Raw genomic sequence first — 21,121 nt, 5'->3', positions numbered from 1 at the left:
GGCCACCGCTAGACCAAGGCCTGCTAAGTAACCAGGGCCTTCCCAGGCACTGGCATTACCGCTAGGCCAAGGAGCCCTCCAGCGGCCCTTCTCTGGGCGTGAATGAGGGCTCACACTCTTGTCTTCTGGTCACCTCTCACTGTGGCCCTTCAGCTCCTAACTCTGTGTGGCCTGGTTTCCCCCAAGGTAATCATAATAGAACAGAGATCATTATGGTAATAGAACAAAGAGTGATGCTACAAACTAATGATTAATAATAGTCAGATATAATCCTATCCGTTTCCTATCTCTAGTAAAACTTTTCTTATTCTAATTATTTTCTTTGCTGTACTGGAACAGCTTGTGCCTTCAGGCTCTTGCCTGGGCACCTGGGTGGCTTGCGGCCCACAAGATAAGATATATTGCGTTGAACTATAATTTATGTTGATTGCTGAATGATTTAGGGCGGGGGGGTGGGCACCCCCTGAAATTCTGCCCTGGAGGAGTGGCCTCACCCTAACCCTGGCCGTGGCTAATAATAAGGCCCACCTCTTAGGGCCGTGGAGTGAAATAAGTTTTCCAGGTAATGCGCAGTAGAGCCCTCAGCCCTCCGCTGAAGTTGCGTTAGGAAGGAGGAAGGGAGAGGTAAATGCTGAGCCCGCAGGCGGCAGTCTGTGCCTCGGAGAGAAACTTTATCCCAACCTTGCTGGGGGCCTTGACGCCCACCTTGCCCCAAGAGCACCCCGGCAGTCACCCCTGCCCTCTGGGGTCCTGCCACCCCGAGCCCGACCTTCCCCCTTTTCCCCCGCGCCGGGCCAATAGCCTCCTAACTGCGTCGTGCTCATCACCTTTGCGTCGTTTCTTCGCTCCACAAACGTTTACTGAGCGCCTTCCACACGCCAGGCGCCAGACTCGCGCGGGGAAACAGGGATAAGCACTGAGGAGGGGTCCCAGCCCTCAGCGATGGGATTTCAGAGCGGGAGATAAAGGGTTGCCCAGAAGGGTGGTGAGTGGAATAGCTGATATAAACAACGGGGACGCGATGAAATACACAGGAGGGCTGCTAGTCACATATGGGGCGGGTGCCGAGGGCCCTTGACTAAGGGAGGCTTCCTGCACGGGTGACACCCAAGCGGAGTCCTGACGACCTGCGTCAGAAGTAGCCAGGCGAGGAGGAGGGGAAAGGAATCCACGTCCCGAGCAGAGAGGCAGCATTCCCTACACAGCACAGGACACGGTCCGCGCACAGAAGCCGCAGGAGACGCAGGCACAGGGGCTGGGGAGAATCCTTGCTGGGCCCTCGCCGCCTCCCTCTGCCGGGTGTCTGGTGCCAGCCTCCTGCCTGGCAGAGGAACTCCAGCCCCTGCTCCCGGAAGCCCCTCCAGGCCTTCGGCTTCCCTGACTGGGCATGGGCCCCTCGTCCCCTCGGGTACGGGGCCGGTCTCCCCGCCCTCGGGCGGCGAAGTAAAGGCTGAGCCCACTGCTCCCACCACCTCTGTCTCTTCCCACTCAGACCCCTCTGCCTATAACTGGAACCACCTCACAATGTGGTTACTGCCAGGGCAACTGGGCAGGCCCCGCCTGCTTTGTTGAGGGAGGGAGGCATTTTTCCCAAGGCTCCCAGGAAACATCTGCAAAGTATCTTTCTCTCCTGGGTCCTGATCAGATAGAAGACCTTCCCACCTTAGCTTTGAGTCTCAGTGGGCCCCATGGACAATTCAGCAGTAAAGTCTTTTCTCTGTGGCATCTTTCCCCCACTCTTCCTCAGAGGCTTTTTAGTACAGATTGGGGTTTCTCCATGTTGGTCAGGCTGGTCTCCAACTCCCAGCCTCTGGTGATCCGCCTGCCTGCCGCCTCCCAAAGTGCTGGGATTACAGGTGTGAGCCACTGGCCCAAGCTTTTTTTTTTTTTTTTTTGAGACGGAGTCTCACTCTGTCGCTGAGGCTGGAGTGCAGTGGCGCATCTCGGCTCACTGCAAGCTCCACCTCCTGGGTTCGCGCCATTCTTCTGCCTCAGCCTCCCAAGTAGCGGGGACGACAGGCACCTGCCACTACGTCTGGCTAATTTTTTTGTACTTTTAGTAGAGACGGGGATTCACCGTGTTAGCCAGGATGGTCTCGATCTCCTGACCTCATGATCTGCCCGCCTCAGCCTCCCAAAGTGCTGGGATTACAGGCATGAGCCACCGCGCCCATGCTTTTTTTTTTTTTTTTTTTTCAGAGACAAAGTCTTGCTCTGTCACCCAGGCTGGAGTGCAGTGGCGCGATCTCGGCTCACTGCAGCCTCTGCCTCCCGGGTTCCAGTGATTCTCCTGCCTCAGCCTCCTTGGGTAGCTGGGATTACAGGTGTTTGCCACCACGCCCAGCTAATTTTTGTATTTTTAAGGAGGTCTCGCCAAGTTGGCCAGGCTGGTCTCGAACTCCTGACTTCAGGTGATCTGCCCGCCTCGGCCTCCCAAAGCGCTGGGATTACAGGCGTGAGCCACTGCGCTGGGCACTTTAATTCTGTCTTTACTTTCTGAGATAGTCTCGCTCGGACGCTCAGGTTGGACTGCAATGGCGTGATCTCAGCTCGCTGAAACTTCCACCTCCCGGATTCAAGCGATTCTCCCATCTCAGCCTCCCGAGTAGCTGGGATTATTGACGCGCAGCACCACGCCCGGCTAATTTTTGTGGTTTTTGTATCTTCTGTCTTCTGCTCTTTAGTACCGCATAGAGCCACAGAAGACTAGTGAGTCGAACAAACGGCCCCTCTTGCAGCAGTTGTTGATCACAGGGCTGCCCCCGGTACTCATCCTGTGTCTCTCGTCCAAATCCCCGCTCCTCCCCAGCTATCACCTCTGCCGATGCTGGTGGTTTCCCTGGGTACCGGGAACCAAACTCTCATTCCCCAGGAACCTAAGTCAGGGTTCCTGCACATTCACAGTTATGGGTGGCCCTGGGAGTAACACCTGGCACCCAAACAGATCACCAGAGTCCACACATAGTCCACCTGCCCTCCCTGCATAAGATCAGCTCTTCTTCCTCCCGATGATAGATCAGGGTCAATGATCCCTGCCAAGATGGCGACTGCTCCAGCCTGCTGGTCCAACCTGTCCAGCCACAGCTGTAGCTTGAAGGCTTGAAGTTCAATGGGACCCTCTCCTGCTTTCTACAAACTGGTTCCTTTATTTTTATTTATTTGGGACGGGGTCTGGCTCTGTCACCCAGGCTGGAGTGCAGTGGTGCAATCACTGCTCACTGCAGCATCCACCTCCCAGCATCCATCCACCCTCCTGCCTCAGCCTCTGGAATAGCTGGGGTACAGATAGGCCGCAGCCCGAACAGGGTTTCACTAGGTTGCCTAGGCTCTTTCTTTTTGTTTGCTTGAACCCAGGAGGCAGAGGCCACTGTGCCCAGCCACTTGGGGTGATCTTAAATGCACAGTCCCAGGCTGGGCGTGGTGGCTCACACCTGTAATCCCAGCACTTTGGGAGGCTGAGGCGGGCGGATCACCTGAGGTCTGGAGTTTGAGATCAGCCTGACCAACGTGGAGAAACCCTGTCTCTACTAAAAATACAAAAATTATCCGGGCATGGTGGTGCATGCCTGTAATCCTAGCTACTTGGGAGGCTGAGGTAGGAGAATCTCTTGAACCTGGGAGGCGGAGGTTGCAGTGAGCCGAGATTGCGCCATTGCACTCCAGCCTGGGCAACAAGAGTGAAACTCCATCTCAAAAAATAAAAAATAAAATGAAAATAAAATTAAGAGGTAGACGCTAGGCTTGAGTCCAGAATTAGAAATCTCCAGAGCTAGGGTGTTTTCTAAGAAGCCCCTTTGCGTTCTGGGGGCTCAGACCTCAGTGAGGCTTAGTAGGATTTTGTATTTTCTTTCATTCTGACTCAGCACAGACATTTATGGGGGAGATGGAGAGAGGAGAGATTAAGGAGAAAAAGGTAATTCCGGAGACCTAAGTGGGGAGAGATGAGCAGAGGAAGGGTCAGATGATGATGCTGGAACCCTCTGAGGAAGAATGGGGGAAAGAAGCCAGAGAGAAAAGACTTTACTGCTGAATTGTCCATGGGGCCCATTGAGACTCAAAGCTAAGGTGGGAAGGTCTTCTATCTGATCAGGACCCAGGAGAGAAAGGTACTTTGCAGATGTTCCCTGGGAGCCTTGGGAAAAATGCCTCCCTCTCTCAACAAAGCAGGCGGGGCCTGCCCAGTTGCCCTGGCAGTAACCACATTGTGAGGTGGTTCCAGTTATAGGCAGAGGGGTCTGAGTGGGAAGAGACAGAGGTGGTGGGAGCAGTGGGCTCTGCCTGTCCCCACCCCCACCTGGGGCCTCATACCATCCCACTATCATGGGTAGTGCCTACCACTGGGAGGCCCGGCGCCGGCAGATGGCTTTGGACCGAAGGAGATGGCTGATGGCCCAGCAGCAGCAGGAGCTGCAGCAGAAAGAACAGGTGCATGGGATAGGCTGGGTTCTTCAGGGTCCTCTCTGGAGCAGGAAGGGAATGGAGAATGGAGAGAGATCCCTAGGAAGCTGCCTACTATTTGGTGAATGCTGTTTGCTGGGGGTAGGAGGAAAGCAAGGTCATTTGGCGTTCTCTCAGATAGACTGTGTCTGTGTTGGGGGGACCACTATCAGCTGACTCAATTTCCCTCTTGTAATAGTCTAGGGGAAGGCAAGGGTACTAGGCCTGGGAGGTTTAAAGATGTTCTGTCCAATAGGGTAACCCCCAGCCTGTATGCTATATTGAGCCTTGGAGTGTGACTGAGGAACCAAATTTTTTTTTTTTTTTTTGAGATGGAGTTTTGCTCTTGTTGCCCAGGCTGGAGTGCAATGGTGCAATCTTGGCTCACCACAACCTCTGCCTCCCGGGTTCAAGTGATTCTCCTGCCTCAGCCTCCCGAGTAGCTGGTATTACAGGCATGCGCCACCACGCCCAGATAATTTTGTATTTTTAGTAGAGACACGGTTTCTCCATGTTGGTGAGGCTGGTCTCAAACTCCCGACCTCAGGTGATCCACCCACCTCAGCCTCCCAAAGTGCTGGGATTGCAGGCATGAGCCATGATGCCCGGTCAGTGTTATATAAATTTAATTTAGTTTTTAAAAATGTTATTTTGGCCGGGCATGGTGGCTCACACCTGTAATCCAGCACTTTGGGAGGCCAAGGTGGGTGGATCAGTTGAGGTCAGGAGTTCAAGACCAGCCTGGCCAACATGGCGAAACCTGGTCTCTACTAAAAGTACAAAAAGTAGCTAGGCATGGTGGCGCTTGCCTGGAATTCCAGCTACCTGGGGAGACTGAGGCATGAGAATCACTTGAATCAGTGAGGTGGAGGTTGCAGTGAGCCAAGATAGTGCCACTGCACTCTGACCTGAGTGACAGAGTGAGACTCTGTCTCAAAAAAAAAATTAAAAACTTTATTTGATTTTATTATTGTAATACAGACAGGGTCTCACTATGTTGCCCTGGCTGGTCTGGAACTCCTGGACTCAAGCAATCCTCCCACCTCAGCCTCCCAAAATGTTGACAAGTGTGAACCACCATGCCTGGCCTTTAATTAATTAATTCACTTATTTATTTTATTTTTTTTTTGAGATGGAGTCTTGCTCCAGTCTTGCTCCCAGCCGGGCACAGTGGCTCACACCTGTAATCCCAGCACTTTGGGAGGCCAAGGCAGGTGGATCACCTGTGGTCAGGAGTTCGAGACCAGCCTGACCAACATGGTGAAACCCCATCTCTACTAAAAATACAAAAATCAGCCGGGCGTGGTGGCGCGCACCTGTAATCCCAGCTACTCGGGAGGCTGAGGTAGGGGAATCGCCTGAACCTGGGAGGTGGAGGTTGCAGTGAGCCAAGATCGCGCCGTTGCACTCCAGCCTGGGTGACAAGAGCAAAAATCCATCTTAAAAAACAACAACAACAACAACAAAAATATAAATATTTTAAAACAACATACATACTGGAAAAATTTTAAGCATGTTTGGGACAATTTGGATATGTACATCTACTTTTTCAACTGTAAATTTATGAAATCTAAATCAATGAAATATTTTTGATGAAAATTTAGTGTCCAAATTAAGATGTGCTGTTGTTTCAAATTCAAGCTAGGTTTTGAAGACTTAGTATGAAAACAAAGAATATAAAATACTTCACTGATATGTTCATATTGATGTTTTGGATGCATGGGGTTAAGTAAAATATATTATTAGGCTGGGTGCAGTGGCTCACGCCTGTAATCCCAGCTCTTTGGGAGCCAAGGCGGGCTGATCCTTTGAGCCCAGGAGTTTCAGACCAGCCTGGTATCATGGTGAAATCCGTCTCTAAAACAAATAGAAAAATTAGCCAGGCATGGTAGTGTGCACCCATAGTCCCAGCTACTCGGGAGGCTGCAGTGGGAGAATCACTTGAGCCTGGGAGGTCAAGGGCTACGGTAAGCCTTGTGATCACGCCACTATATTCCAGCCTGCGAGACAAAGTGAGACCCTGTTGCACACAAAAAAATAAATAAATACAAGTAATTAAAATTAGTTTCACTTGTTTTTTCTTCTTCTTCTTTTTTTGAGACAAGGTCTTCCTCTGTCACCAAACCTGGAGTGTGACGGCCCATTCATAGCTCACTGCAGCCTTGATCTCCTGGGCTCAAGCCATCCTCCAGCCTCAGCCTCCTGAGTAGCTGGGACTACAGGCATGCACCACCATGCCTAGCTAATTTTTTGTAAAGACCAGGTCTCACTATGTTGCCCAGGCTGGCCTCAAACTCCTAGCTTCAAACAATCCTCCTGTCTCAGTGCCACAAAGCGTGGATTACAGGCATGTGCCACTGTGCCTGGCCCTATTTCTTCTTCTATGTGGCTATTAGAAAATTTAGTGGCTGGATGCAGTGGCTCACGCCTGTCATCCCAGCACTTTGGGAGGCCGAGGCGGGTGGATCACAAGGTCAGGAGTTCGAGACCATCCTGGCCAACATGGTGAAACCCCGCCTCTACTAAAAATACAAAAATTAGCTTGGCGTGGTGGCACATGCCTATAATCCCAGCTACTCAGGAGGCTGAGGCAGGAGAATCGCTTGAACTCAGGAAGCAGAGGTTGCAATGAGCCAAGATCAGGCCATTGCACTCCAGCCTGGGGGACAGAACGAGACTCTGTCTCAAACAAAAAAAAAAAAGAAAAAAAGAAAGAGAATTTAAAATTACACATGTAGCATGCAATATATATATATACTTTTTTTTTTTTTTTTTTAGACGGAGTCTCATTCTGTCGCCCAGGCTGGAGTGCAGTGGCATGATCCTGGCTCACTGCAACCTCCGCCTCCTGGGTTTAAGCAATTCTCCTGCCTCAGCCTCCTGAGTAGCTGGGATTACAGGTGCCTGCCACCAAGCCCAACTAATTTTTGTATTTTTAGTAGAGACGGGGTTTCACCATGTTGGTCAGGCTGGTCTCGAACTCCTGACCTCGTGATCCGCCCGCCTCGGCTTCCCAAAGTGCTGGGATGACAGGCGTGAGCCACCGCGTCCGGCCCAGCATGAATTATATTTTTATTTGACACTGCTATTTCAAAGCACTTGTAAGGTTTAGAAGCACCCTTGGGCTATTAAAAAAATCACTTTGGGAGGCTGAGGTGGGAGGATCGCTTGAGGCTAGGAGTTCCAAACCAACCTAGGCAACATAGGGGGACCCTGTCTCTACAGAAAATTTAAAAATTAGCAAGGCATGGTGGCACATGCATTTAGTCCAAGCTGCTCAGGAGGCTGAGGTGGAAGGATCGCTTGAGCCTGGGAGGTTGGGGCAGCAGTGAGCCAAGATTGCACCACTTACTGCACTCCAGCCTGGGCAACATAATGAGTCCCTGTCTCTATTAAAAAAAAAAAATTAACCGGGCATGGTGGTGTGCACCTGTAGTCCTAGCTACTTGCGAAGCTGAGGCAGGAGAATCACTTGAGCCCAGTAGTTCCAGATTACAGTGAGTCATAAAAGTGCTACTGCACTCCAGCCTGGGTGACAGAGTGGGAACCTATCTCTAAAAAACAAAACACAAGACATTTGCAGGGAATTACTCTTTATCCTCCAGCACTAAAAACTGCTTTCAGTGCTGAGCTCTCAAGTGAGGAAGCAGGTGCTCAGAGAGAGTGCTATTTCCTGGGCTGGGGCTGTGCCACCCAGAAATCGTTCTTGGGTGTCACAGTGGGTGAGGCAGACAGCGTAGGCCCAATTTCAGCCTCCAGCTCTAGGGAACAGAGACCACTGCCACCTATACTTCTCTACTCACTTGCCTTGTTCCCTGAAGTTTCTCTGGCAGATGGGTGATTGGGTGGGGAGAGGATGATGCCACTTGCCCGGGGGCTTCTTGCCAGGAACTGAAGAATCACCAGGAGGAAGAACAACAATCGGAGGAAAAACTCCAGCCACATAAGAAGTTAAATGTGCCGCAACCACCAGTGGCGAAATTGTGGACATCACAGGAGCAACCACAGCCATCACAGCAGCAGCCATCAGTGCAGCCACCATCACAGCCACCACCACAGCCATCAACATTGCCACAGGCACAGGTGTGGCCAGGGCCACAGCCACCACAACCACAGCCACCACCTCAGCCAACACAACCAAGTGCTCAAGCCCGTTGTACTCAGCACACCTCCAAATGCAATCTCCAGGATTCCCAAAGGCCAGGTCACCAGCCTACTTCAGCGGGGATCTACTAAGCTGGAGGGCAATCTCTGTATCAACAACAGATTCCAGGGTGGGCAGAAAATCCTTACAGACTCTGGACTGGAGCCTGGGAGTGGGAGGTGGTAAGGAGAGGAGCCCTTTGCTTCCATCCCGGCCCTGTAGTGTAGAATCCATATCTACCACCCTACCCTCTCTGACTCTCCCAAGTACCCTCGGCCTTTAATGCCTTGCTGGTCAACTCCCCCTGGGTGGGTTAATGCCAACCTACGGCTGCAAAGGAGCCTTCCAACTTCTGCAGAGAGTGGTTGAGAAGCTGTCGGCCCTTCTTCCAGAGTAAGCGTGACAGAGGAGGTGGGGGTGATCAGAGGGTGGGACATGAGTTGTAGGCTTATTAACAGATATACTGAGCCCCGTGAGGTCTGGAACAGGGAACCACAGCACAGCTTCCTAGTTGAGAATCTTCAGGAAGGGCTCAGTCTGTGCCCTGTCCCAGGTAGGAGCCTGTCCTCACTGCACCCCCATCACCCCCTGGGTCACCAGACACAAGCACTCCAGGCTTGCAGTATTCCATCCTTGGAAAACTGCTGGATGAGTAACCTGTACTTTGTTTCATCATCAGGTCTCATGAACCCATGCCAATCTAGCCCCATCAGAAACACTGGGTATTCACAACTCAAGGTAAGATAGGGACACAGACTGTGAAAGACAGACTCTGGGTGACAGAAAGAAAGAGAGAGAGAGAGAGAGAGTGTGAGTGTGTGTGTGTGTGTGTGTAGTCCAGAGAAACCTCCTTAGCAGGAGTAAGGGGAGGAGACTAGAATTATTTCAAATTACTTCTGGATGGTCTATTCCTCTATTCTTTGCCACCATTAAAAATGTTTGGGTAGGAAGCTGGGTGCAGTAGTCTTGGCTACTTGGGAAGCTGAGGCAGGAGTATTGCTTGAGCCCAGGAGTTCAGGTTCAGACATCTCCAAAAAAAAAAAAAAATTGAAAAAAATTGAAAAAAATTGAAAAAAAGCCAAGTGTGTGGGGCTCATGCCTATAATCCCAGCACTTTGGGAGATCAAGGTGAGAGGATCGCTTGAGCCCAGAAGTTTGAGACCAGCCTGGGCAACAGAGTGAGACTCCATCTCAACAACAACAAAAAATTTTAAAAACTAGCTGGGTAGCCAGGCACGGTGGCTCACACCTGTAATCCCAGCACTTTGAGGGGCTGAGGCAGGCAGATCATGAGGTCAAGAGATCAAGACCATCCTGGCCAACATGGCGAAACCCCATCTCTACTAAAAATACAAAAATTAGCTGGGTGGGTGGCATGTGCCTGTAGTCCCAGCTGCTCGGGAGGCTGAGGCAGGAGAATCACTTGAACCCAGGAGGAAAAGGTTGCAGTGAGCCAAGATCGTGCCACTTCACTCCAACCTGGTGACAGAGCGAGACTTCGTTTAAAAAAAAAAAAAAAACGAAAAAAAAAAACAAAACTAGCTGGGCATGGTGGCACATACCTGGAGTCCAAGCTACTTGGGAGGCTAAGGTGAAGATCGCTTGAGCACCAGAGGTTGAGGCTGCCGTAAGTGGTGATCACACCACTGCACTCCAGCCTGTGCAACAGAGTGAGACCCTCCCTGAAAGAAAAAAAAAAAAAAAGGAAAAAATGCCTGGGTATGGATGGCCTATTGCTCAGCGCTATCCATAAAATGATAGATGATACAACTTCCTCAACAGAGGTGGCATGAGGACTGAATATGGCAATTATTAATAAAGGAAAGGGGCCAGGCGCAGGGGCCCATGCCTGAAATCCCAGCACTTTGGGAGGCCGAGGTGAGCAGATTGCCTGAGCTCAGGAATTTGAGAACAGCCTGGGCAACATGCTGAGATGCCATCTCTACTAAAAATACAAAAAATTAGCCAGGTGTGGTAGGGCGCATCTGTAGTCCCAGCTATTCGGGAGACTGAGGCAGGAGAATCACTTGACCCCTGGAGGTGGAGGTTGCAGTGAGCCAGGATGACACCACTGCACTCCAGCCTGGGTAAAAGAGTGAGATAGACAGACAGACAGACAGAGGAAAGAGCATTAAAAGCACTTAGCTTGGAGTCCAGCTCATTGTAGGCTATCAAACTCAGGATGGCAACCTTTTTCTTTTTTTTTGAGACACAGTCTCACTCTGTTACCCAGGCTGGATCTCAGCTGCACTCCACCTGCAACCTCCACTTCCCGGGTTCAAATGATTCTCCTGCCTCAGCCTCCCGAGTAGCTGGGATTACAGGCATGTACCACCACGCCCAGCTAATTTTTATATTATTAGTAGAGATGGGGTTTTGCTATGTTGGCCAGGCTGGTCTCAAAAGATCTACCCGTCTTGGCCTCCCAAAGTGCTGGGATTACAGGTGTGAGCCACCACGCCTGGCCTGGATGGCAACTCTTAACAAGAATATATAATTGTGCAATTGTGCAAGGCATTGGAAAGGTGTCTCTGACAGAGGTGCAACAGATGAAAGAAACTGATGCTAGCACTTCTAGGATGAAGAGTGGGCTGCTACATTTCACTTTGATTCCTCTGGACTCAAGGGATTTCACACAATGTTCTGAAACCAGAAGCTGCTAACTTGTTTTGTTTCCTGTCTCTCCCTCTTCTCAGTCTACCAATTACATACAGCAGTGGTGATCCAGAGATTGAACCCAGGACCCCATGGCCATCCCCAAAATGCAGATGAGCAACCACATCTTCTCAGCATCCAGCAATATCTCCACTCCAAAAGCCACCCACTCTAGAAGAGGAGGCTGCCAGGAATAAAATGTAATTTTTTTCCTGGGAAGAATCACGGGACCGGACAGCTTTATGAGACAGGGATGAGAGGAAGAGGGCAGGAGGACTCACGAAGGGGATGGAGAGGGTGGAAAGAGAGTGGAAGGCAAGTTTATGCTTCTCTAGGCAAAGCCAATGGGAGAACTGGGTCTTGGGTCCCCCCCAAGTATGCAACTCCTACTACTATCACTACCTGCCCTCATTCAGCAGTGATAAGTCTGTGGGGGGCTTCAGTTTATGACTGTCACTGGAGCCATCACCCATTCCCCCAAGCCCATGCTTACTGAGATATAGCCTGGGGAAGGAGGGGTCGCATCACATCAGAGCAGGCCTGCAGCAGCAGAAAGTGGTGGCAGGCAGTGATGCTCCCCACCTCCAAGCCCAGTGCAATGGCTGGCCTACAGTGGGCACTCAGCTGTCAAATGGACAATGGAGGCAGGGATGGAGCGAAAGAGCTTGGAGGAAACGGAGGCTATAGCCTCAGGAACATGACACCTGACCCTGGGAAGGGGAGGGAGTCTTGCCTTCTAAAACCCACAGCCCTCTCCCTTCCTGGCTCTCAGCCTCTCCATCTAGCAGAGACAACCCAGAGGTTCACCAGCCCAAGGTGAAGGAGTGGGTAGGGCTGGGGGCCCTGGGTGTTAGACTTCAGGAAGGTGCAAGCCCTGGGAAAGCCTTTCTTCCTCCATGCTGAGAAAGGCTGCCTCAGTCACCTCAATCACAAGCCCCGTCCGAGGCATCAGCTGCGTATTTCATTTTAGCCTACATAGCATTGCCTTTGGTCTGAAGGGGCCGTTTCAGTGCAACCCACGAAATTTCCTGATGAGAGCAGCTGGGGAAGATAACGGGATGGTGGTGGCACAGAACAGGAATAGTAAAATTGGAAGAGACTTTAGAGATACACAATGGGAGCAAGAGGGAGAGTGAGGTCCTGTGAGCAATCTCACGGAAAACAGAAGGGCAGGATATGTCATCAGTGGCTCAGAGGCCTGGGGAAGAAACCTTGCTGCCCGTTAGAACATTAAGGAAACAGTTTCTGCCAGGTGCAGTGGCTCATGCCTGTAATCCCAGCACTCTGGGAGGCCGAGGCGGGCAGATCGCTTGAGGCCAGGAGTTTGAGACCAGCCTGGCTAACATGATAAAACACTGTCTCTACTAAAAATACAAAAATTAATTTGGTGTGGTGGTGCATGTCTGTAACCCCAACTACTCAGGGAGTCTGAGGCACGAGAATCACTTGAACACAGGAGGCAGAGGTTGCACTGTGCCAAGATCATGCCATTGCACTCTAGCCTGGGTAACAGAGCGAAACTGTCTCAAAAAAAAAAAAAAAGAAAAGTTTGTGAAATAGGGAGTATCCACTAGCTCCCTTCCCACTCCCAGGAGACTTTTTTGAACACTCTTAAGTATAGTTTATTGAATACAATATAAATACTTCACATTTGGCAGTCTATACACAGCAGCTCCAGCCTGGCTTCCCTGGACTTTTGCGCTCTTGCCAACACCACCCTGACCTCAGCTTGGAGACAGCAGTCTCCTTCCTTCCCCTCGTTCCCCCAGCCAGCTAGTTACCAAGTTCTGTCACCACTTCTCCCTCTCCATGCATCCTACTTCAAAATTAGCTTTCCCTGCTCACCTGTGTTCATCGTTCTGTCTGAATGATAAAGAGACAGCCATCTTTTTTTTTTTTTTTTTTTGAGACAGAGTCTCGCCCTTGTTGCCCAGGCTGGAGTGCAGTGGTGCGATCTTGGCTCACTGCAACCTCTGCCTCCCAGGTTCAAGTGATTCTCCTGCCTCAGCCTCCTGAGTAGGTGGGATTACAGGTGTGCGCCATTACGCCCAGCTCTTTTTTTTTTTTTAAACGGGGTCTTGCTAATGTTGCTGCTCATGTTAAACTTGAATTCCTGGGCTCTAGAGATCCTCTCACCTCAGCTTCCTGAGTAGCTGGGACTACAGGTATATACCACTGCACCCAGCTGTAAGACCAAGCCACCTTTAATGAACAAATATCCTTCCTGTTCTGCTAAAGTACAGAAACTATTTCTACTAGGAGCCAGTGGGAACCTAGGGGTTATCTGGAGCTTAGCTCCAGCTAAGTGACAGGAAAGGGAGGGTCTAGACCAGTCCCTGCTGATGTGCTGCTCCACATTGTCAAAGCCCAAGGAGAGATGAGGCCTCTGGGACCAGAGAGGGCCCTGGTGCTAAGGTGGTGGTGGAACAGAACCCAGCAGCCTTCAGCTGGATACTGATAGCTTCATCTCCTGAAGGCTTTCAGATGACAGCAGCTGGACCCACCGTTTTACCTACCTGTGTCCACTCACATGGGCTCAGGATGTGGACTTAGAGGCTCTCCTTTAATAAATATCTTATACAATGATTCTGTCTTTGGCTCTGTTTTTCCTGTGCAGGCCCGCAGAGTGCCAGGTGCCTCTCTCCCCTCCTCTACTATTTTGGCTCCTGCTATGAAAAGAATAGTAAAACTACTTTATAGAGAGGAGACGCTTTAGCTGGAGAACAACTCTGTCTTCCTAGGAACCAGGGACAGTCAATAACCAGAAAGGACAGAGGGCTAAAGGGCCTTGGCTAATCTTACTATCAGATGGGTGGCAGACAAGTTACCAGAGAGAAGCAGACTATCACTTTTTCACATGGTCAAAGCAGATAGGCACAGAAAAGCATCTATGATCCCCTGAAAGTCCTTGGAGATGGCACTGGATATCCCCAAATTTTCTTATCAGAGGGTAGAAAACTTGAAAAGAGTCTTTTTTTGAGACAAAGTTTTGCTCTTTTGCCCAGGCTGGAGTGCAGTTGCACGATCTTGGCTCACTGCAACCTCTGCCTTCCGGTTTCAAGTGATTCTGCTGCCTCAGCCTCCCGAGTAGCTGGGATTACAGGCGCATGCCACCACACCCAGCTAATTTTTGTATTTTTAGTAGAGACAAGGTTTCACCATGTTGACCAGGCTGGTCACGAACTCCTGCCCTCAAGTGATCCACCCACTTCGGCCTCCCAAAGTACTGGGATTACAGGTGTAAGCCACTGCGCCCAGCCGGCAGGTCCATGTTTTAAAAGCCAGATAAAACTACAGCTCTCTCCACATTCAGACGGGACAGCCAGCCCTGATGGAGCTGGGGTGAAATGCCCCCTTCAGACTGACCAGGTGCTCAGTACAGAAAGGCCAGGTGCCACTCCAGGGAATCTAAGGTGCCTCAAGAAAATGCCAGGTCAGATTTTCCTCAAGAAAGACCAGCCAGGCACAGGCTCACATCTGTAATCCAAGTGCTTTGGGAGGCCAAGAAGGGAGGATCGCTTGAGCCCAGGAGTTCAAAACCAACCTGGACCAACAGTGAGACTCTGTCTCTACCAAAAAAAAAACAAAAAACTAACCAAGGGCAGAATCTGATGGCAGCCCCTGAAAGAATCTGGGGGAAACTGGAGGATATGAGTGTGTGTGTATGAAGTTAACTTCAAAGCAAGCTTCCTGTGCTGAGGGGGTGGGAGGTAAGGGTGTGATGAGGCAGGGCTTCTCCTTTGGCAAAGCCTCTGTAGTCCTTCCTTAGTCACCAGGGAGTTGTGGGAGATATAGACCAGGGTTGCAGGTGCCTGGAGTACAGGGACAGCAGACAGGTCATGGTGGGTGAGGGGTCAGCTGGTGGGGCACAGATGCGTTTCCTCGGCAGTCCACATATTCATAGCTCTGAAAGACCAGCTGCTCTGAATGGCTCAGGTATGAACAGGTCAGGGTGCCCCTGGAGAGGAAGCAGGCCTTGTTGCCATGGCTGGGAGGAAAAGGAAAGCTCTGGCCCCATTATACTGTCTGGGGGTGGGGAGCGGGGAGCTCCCTCATTTGCCCTTCCCTCTGGCTCCCCACTCTGCCAAGGTACCTGGGACAGCTGCCCCACCTGTTTTCCAGCAGCTTCCAGACAGCCCTATGCCTGTTGCCCCTAATAACTTATAGGCAAGGTGAGACTCAGAAAAGGGGCTAGACTTGCTATTCCCAAGAGCCAACAAAGATTCATGGGGTCAGCTTGGAAGACTCTCTGCCCATGAGGTGTAGCTGAGTGAGAATGAAGTCAGAAGTGAGAGCAGGGATACCAGAGCTCCAAGCTCTACTTACTGGATGTGCAAAAGCACATGGTGGACTTTGATTTCCAGCCAGGTACAGATTTTGCTGAGAGAGAAGAAAAGAGAACGTGGGACCACGTGTCACATGGAGCAGCCTGTCAGCTCAGAAGATGCCTGCAGGTCCCAGTTTCCTTACCCCACAGAACTCTTTCCTTCCATCAGGTGCCCCCAAAATGTCACTCCCACCCCTTCCCACCCTTCAGGTGAGTGTAGCAGCATGGCTGCACTATCACTCTGACCTCCACTCACTTGGCCCAGGCACATGCTGGACCCCCATTCAGGAGACAGACAAAACATTCTTCTTCCTCAGCAATGCAGGCTGAAGAGCCCAAGGTCACATATTGTAAAGATTAACCAAATTCCAGCCTGTTTTTCATTCTAATCAAGGTCCAAACAAGCAGAGGCTGGGGACCCTGAACCCTTGCTTATTACATTCTCGGCCATGGGAGGGCAGGCCAGATGCTGGCTGAAGAATTTGCTAAGCAATCAGGAAAGCTGGTGGGTATTAATTGGGTCCCTAAGCCAGGCAAGTGGCTAGGGGAGAAGAGATCAAGGGGTACTCACTATGTGTTTTCATCCCGTATCTTGGTAGCTACTGCGTAAAACATCTGTCAACCAAATGGGCACAGGGTTAGCCCCAACTCCAGCTGCCCCTTTCCCACTACCACACATCCACACACCAGTGGGCAGGGCTGGCCAGGGAGAGGGGAGTCACCTGTTCACTGGCCAAAGGGCCAATGTGTAGGAGAAGGTTGTTGGAAACCTGCCCCACCACGAGGGACAGGTGCAGAACCTCGAGGGTCAGCTGTGTCACCATAATGGGGTAGTAGTTGCCATTGGAGATGTTTAAGATATTCTGGGGATGAAGACAAGGGAAGGGAGGAGTGAAGATGGCCCATCCTTAGGAAAAGCCAAACAGTTGCAAAAGCCTGGCTGTCTGGCCTGAGCCCCATCTACCATGACAAGCTTCAGGTGCAGAGGATGAAAACTGGGAGCCCCTTGGAGGGGCATTGAATGGTGAGGGGTCAACTTTACGAAGTTAAGCTGCCTCAGGATCCAGGTCCATCCTGTACAGCTTCTTTCCATTCAGTCCTGTCCATCCAGAGAGTCTCAGGCACTGTCACCCCACTCCACCCCTGTGGTTTACTTATCTGGCCCGGATTCTGACCCCTTACTGTGTAGAGTCCCAATCCTTACCATCTGTCATGGAGCTCATGGTTGCTCCTACTTCTCTTCAGGCTCCCAACACCCTCTGGGTGCCATAAGATCTCTGGCTTCCCATGCCCAGGGTCATAACACTGGACAAAGGTTACAGCGAAGTATTGCTAGGAAGGGGGGTTTGGAGCCAAGGGCACCCACCCACCGTTATGTTGAGGTAGATATCAGCCTCATCAAAGGCCACTGTGGAGGAGTTGAGGCCTGCAGGCTGCACAATGACGGACCGGGGAAACAGGAAAAAGACGATGAAGGAGGAGGTCACCAGGCAGATGAGCACGGCCAGGAACACAAAGAGCTTCCTGTGGGAAAGCAGGACCCAGGATGGAGGAATGGAAAAGTCTGAACACCAAGGAAACTCGGAGAGGGGGTTCAGACACTCCTCTCCATATACAAAGCTTTCCCCTGCACACTACCCCAACAACATTTAGCTCCCCAGATGTGGCCCGGAATGAGTAGGAGCACAGGATTGGCAGGCAGGCAGCCTGGTTTCCACTCCCAGATCTCTGTTCCCATTGACCCAATAACATGGAGCAGCCCACTTAGCCTCCTTAAGTCTCAGTTTCCTTGTTGGTAAAAGGCAGATAATTGTACTGACCTCACAGAATTTGTTATCGGCTAATATATGAAAAAATACTAATCACAGGTCCCTGCACATGGCAAAAGCACAATGAATGCTAGTTATTATCACTAGAAGAAATAAGTCCATATTTGGAAGTTCTGAATTTTAACATTCAGAACAGGACACCATCCATCCAATTCAAAATTCAGATATGCATTAAAGAGATAGTACTTTGTTAGTATCTTATGATGTGCACTGCTAATTTCTTTTTTTTTTCTTTTTTTTGAGATGGAGTCTTGCTGTGTCGCCCAAGCTGGAGTGCAGTGGCACGATCTCGGCTCACTGCAACCTCCACCTCCCGGGTTCACGCCATTCTCCTGCCTCAGCCTCCTGAGTAGCTGGGATTACAGGTGCCTGCCACTATGCCCGGCTAATTTTTGTATTTTTAGTAGAGGCGGTTTTGCCATGTTGGTCAGGCTGGTCTCAAACTCCTGACCTCGTGATCTGCCCGCCTTGGCCTCCCAAAGTGCTGGGATTACAGGGTTTTTTTTTGTTTTTTTTTTTTTTTCAGATGAGGCCTCGCTCTGTTGCTCAGGCTGGAGTGCAGTGGCATGATCTTGGCTCACTGAAGCCTCCACCTCCTGGGTTCAAACAATTCTCCTGCCTCAGCCTCCCAAGTAGCTAGGATTACTGGTGTCTGCCACCACGCCCAGATAATTTTTCTATTTTTAGTAGAGACAGGGTTTCGCCATGTTGGCCAGGCTGGTCTTGAACTCCTAACCTCAGGTGATCCGCCTGTCTTGGCCTCCCCAAAGTGCTGGGATTACAGGCATAAACCACCACGCCCAGCCTGATTTCTAATTCTGGTATAGTGGGGTGGCGGAGAGGGTTCGGCTTGGTGGTGACTCCCAGGTTGACACCAGGACCTTGGGAGGAGGTTGAGGGAGCTCCATGTCAGATGGACTCAGATCACAAACACAGTAGGCCCCAGGTCTGCCTGAGGTTCTGAAGTATCCCAGAACAGCGGACAATAGGTTTTTCATCTCTACTAGAAGAAAAACAAGCAAATCTGAACTGCCTCAGCAAGGGAGGTGCTTAAGAAAAATAACATTTTCAAATCAATTGCAGCCAGGGCCACATGCTTGTTCCCTCCTTCCTGGGAGGACTTGCAGAGCTACCAGATCCTTCCTGTCTTGGAGAGGGGGCCATGCTTTCTGGAAGCAGTGATGCTTAAGGAAGCCCACCAGGTGGCCTCAAGTGACATCTGCTGTGCCCACAGCTGCTGCTTTTTTCTTTCTTTCTTTCTTTTCTTTTTTTTTTTCTTTTTTTTTTTTTTTTTGATAGAGATGGGGTTTCACCATGTTGCCCAGGCTGGTCTTGAACTCCTGAGCTCAAGTAATCTGCCTGCCTTGGCCTCCCAAAGTGCTGGGATTACAGGCATGAGCCACCACACCCGGTCCAGGAGCTTCTAAATCAGGAAAAAATCCTTGGACGTAAGGAGCTGGTACCTCTGAGGCTCAGGCTTTCTATGGAAGAACTAATAGGAAGAAATTAAGGGAGATCAAAACAGGGGAGACAAAGGGAGCAGCCCCCAGGGGCAATGGCTTGTGAAGCTAGGGGAGGAAGGGGGGCTTACGTGTGCTTGGGCTTCAGCCTCTGGTCCCCATAGGGAATGAGAGCCACCAACTGCTTCTCCAGCTCTAGAGAGAGAGAAGGTGAGAGGGAGGGCCAAGATGCAACTGTGACAAATATTTACTGTGCCAGCTTCCCAGAAGCACGCCTCCACCCACACCATAGAGCAATGTTAGAAACATGCCACATCTGCCCCAGAGCAGGACTGGAAGCACTGGACTCTGCTACCAAAGTTGGCAGCTCAGCTTTGCCATCTCTAGAATGGAAGTGAGATTTCCACTAATAGGTATGAAGAATCTCTGAAAGTCACCAGCAAATCAGAGATGCCCAGCATCTTTGGAAAGTTCATTTGTAACTTCCTGAACTGAATGAATCCTAGGACACACAGTGTTGCTCAGAAGCACAGTGGCTAGAATCCTTCTTTCCCACAAGGGGCTGGAGAATACAACCAGGGAAGGAGGGCAGGTTTTTGCAGGGAACCCAAGGATAGTTAAGTATCTCCCTGGCCAGCCTGAGACTGGGAGGTCAAGAGCTGGGAGCAGATCTAACCCCATCCAAGGAGACTCAGAGGGGCTGCCCCAGGCCAACAGGCTAAGAACTTTCCCTGGATTCCAGGCTATTTCCAGAGCCTTGGGCCACTCACCTTGGGGAATCTTGCCACTGCCCTGGCAGGTGGGACAAGTCACGAAGCTGGCATCAGCAGTTCCTTCACAAGGCACACAGGAACAAAAAGACTTGCTGCTACCGGTGCTGGAGTAGTTGACAGCCTTGCTGCCAATGGCTGGTTTGGAGGACAGGATTGACTTGTTCTCATCCTCCCGCCAAGAGCCCAGCTGGGAAAACGTCTTACCCATTCTTCAGGGGCGGGGGTTTCACTAATGAGAAAAGACCAAAGTTCAGTGCTAAGCTTGTTAGCACTGACGCCAGATGTAATTTTGGTTTGAAGTTCTCAAGACTGGCAAGGAGCTTCACCACAGTTTAAGCAAGCTCAAGCCTAAGGAAGATAGGATGTGAAAAACTGGGTGGTCACATGGGACTCTCAGAAGTCTCAATGCATTTCGACTCCTTTCATTATTTTAAAAGAGACCAATCTGCCTACAAAAGGGAAAACAAAAGAAAAGCAGAAGTTACTTCACTTTAAGGAACTTCCATAAGTGATTGTCAGAGCATTTAATTTTTCTCTGGAAAAGTTGCTGAGCTGTCATTCAGTTTAAGGGAAGGAAGTTGGATAGGGCAGAAAAGAGATTCTTTGAATCAAGGAGAGAGGAGGCCAGACTGGTCACAGGTGTGGTTAAGACCCCTATCTAAAGAAGCCCTGGGAGAAAGCAGACACCTCACTGCTTTCTGAGGCGGGGTAAGAAAGCCTGAGGAGGGTCATAGTGATACCAGGGTCTGTCTTTCACTAGGAAAACTCAAGGCTAAATCTGGACTCTGTGTGACAGAACGAGGCCGGCAAGTGAGCCACACAGATCTTTCTGGGCTAAAATATAGGGATGCTCACCTTGTTCAGGTCTGGGATCCCAGGCTCCTCAGCCGCACGAGGGCGAGACTTCTGGAGTGCGTCTTTGGGGAGAAGGGCCTCTAAGGGCAGAGTGGGCTGGGCTGGGCTGAGCTGAGCTGGGCGGTGGTGGGGAGAAGCACCGCCTGGGGCCGGCAACCGGCCGGAGTCCTAGGGGAACGAATGTGCCGCACTGGAGAGTGGGGATAGTAAGGACGCTGACCTCCCCGAAGGGCCAAGCCGATTCCTGGGCTACATGGGGGCTCTGCCATGGGCCGACCGGGTGGAAGCGGACGGAGAAGGTGTGACTTCATTAAGGGAGGATTTCAAGTCCCACCACACACCCCTAGAGGCCGTTAGTCAAGCTTGGTACCCGTGCGGGGGGCGCCTGTGTGTTGGGCGAGGAGGCGGCAACAGGAGGTGTCTTGACCTCCGAAAGGTAAAGTAGGTATAAAGGGTCTAGGGAGGGCCTTACCCGCGGACGACTGCAGCGACAGAAACGGAAGAGAGTGGAATCGAAAATGCGGGAGCGAACACTCCCCTCAAGCTTTGACTCAGTGCCCAGGGAAGTCCCGCCCCAGCCCCTAAGGGCCCACCCCCCCGTCCCCCGGTCCGCCCCTTCGCCACGCAGCAGCCTGAGACGC

General features: G+C 51.0%; 2 protein-coding genes across 6 annotated transcripts, besides 3 other annotated features; one reads left to right on the top strand and one right to left on the bottom strand.

The window, feature by feature from the left end:
- Positions 1-1,605: 1,605 nt before the first annotated feature.
- Positions 1,606-11,458, top strand: CCDC200 (coiled-coil domain containing 200). Of its 2 annotated transcripts, NR_047479.3 has the most exons (6): positions 1,606-1,617; positions 3,864-4,106; positions 4,329-4,425; positions 8,326-8,711; positions 9,261-9,319; positions 11,278-11,458. NR_047479.3 is itself a non-coding variant. In NM_001363254.2 (4 exons), exons 1-4 carry the CDS (start codon positions 4,321-4,323, stop codon positions 11,302-11,304), a joined length of 507 nt encoding a protein of 168 aa, NP_001350183.1. In that variant the 5' UTR covers positions 4,252-4,320; the 3' UTR covers positions 11,305-11,455. The 2 variants fall into 2 exon arrangements, 1 of the variants encoding a protein (NP_001350183.1); NM_001363254.2 differs by lacking the exons at positions 1,606-1,617; positions 3,864-4,106 and having other exon boundaries at positions 4,252-4,425; positions 8,326-8,641; positions 11,278-11,455.
- Positions 2,841-3,515: an enhancer, noted in NCBI's record as "H3K27ac-H3K4me1 hESC enhancer chr17:41381411-41382085 (GRCh37/hg19 assembly coordinates)". NCBI's record gives its function as "activates a minimal SCP1, AML or CMV promoter by ChIP-STARR-seq in naive H9 embryonic stem cells {active_cell/tissue: H9 hESC(naive)}" and the evidence as "EXISTENCE:reporter gene assay evidence [ECO:0000049][PMID:30033119]".
- Positions 5,433-5,622: a silencer, noted in NCBI's record as "fragment chr17:41379300-41379489 (GRCh37/hg19 assembly coordinates)". NCBI's record gives its function as "represses an EF-1alpha promoter that drives an FKBP-Casp9 reporter gene in an ReSE screen in K562 erythroleukemia cells {active_cell/tissue: K562}" and the evidence as "EXISTENCE:reporter gene assay evidence [ECO:0000049][PMID:32094911]".
- A 1,375-nt stretch (positions 11,459-12,833) lies between the features above and the next one.
- Positions 12,834-21,000, bottom strand: TMEM106A (transmembrane protein 106A). 4 transcript variants are annotated; one of them, NM_001291587.2, is made up of 10 exons: positions 20,953-21,000; positions 20,481-20,648; positions 19,830-19,854; positions 19,623-19,685; positions 18,984-19,047; positions 16,934-17,087; positions 16,286-16,426; positions 16,135-16,178; positions 15,563-15,616; positions 12,834-15,194 (listed from the first exon to the last, which is right to left on the bottom strand). In NM_001291587.2, the coding sequence occupies exons 3-10, from the start codon at positions 19,831-19,833 to the stop codon at positions 15,074-15,076; spliced, it is 645 nt and encodes a 214-aa protein (NP_001278516.1). In that variant the 5' UTR covers positions 19,834-19,854; positions 20,481-20,648; positions 20,953-21,000; the 3' UTR covers positions 12,834-15,073. The 4 variants fall into 4 exon arrangements, with proteins under 4 accessions (NP_001278516.1, NP_001278515.1, NP_659478.1 ...); NM_001291586.2 differs by having other exon boundaries at positions 19,623-19,854; positions 20,481-20,670; NM_145041.4 differs by having other exon boundaries at positions 19,623-19,854.
- Positions 15,811-16,105: an enhancer, noted in NCBI's record as "tiled region #10579; HepG2 Activating DNase matched - State 5:Enh". NCBI's record gives its function as "activates a minimal TATA promoter and a strong SV40 promoter by Sharpr-MPRA in HepG2 cells {active_cell/tissue: HepG2}" and the evidence as "EXISTENCE:reporter gene assay evidence [ECO:0000049][PMID:27701403]".

This window comes from Homo sapiens, chromosome 17, assembly GCF_000001405.40.
Source record: "Homo sapiens chromosome 17, GRCh38.p14 Primary Assembly".
Classification (NCBI taxonomy): domain Eukaryota; kingdom Metazoa; phylum Chordata; class Mammalia; order Primates; family Hominidae; genus Homo; species Homo sapiens.
The sequence above is the reverse complement of the archived record's forward strand: the minus strand, read 5'-3'. Positions and strand labels throughout refer to the sequence as shown.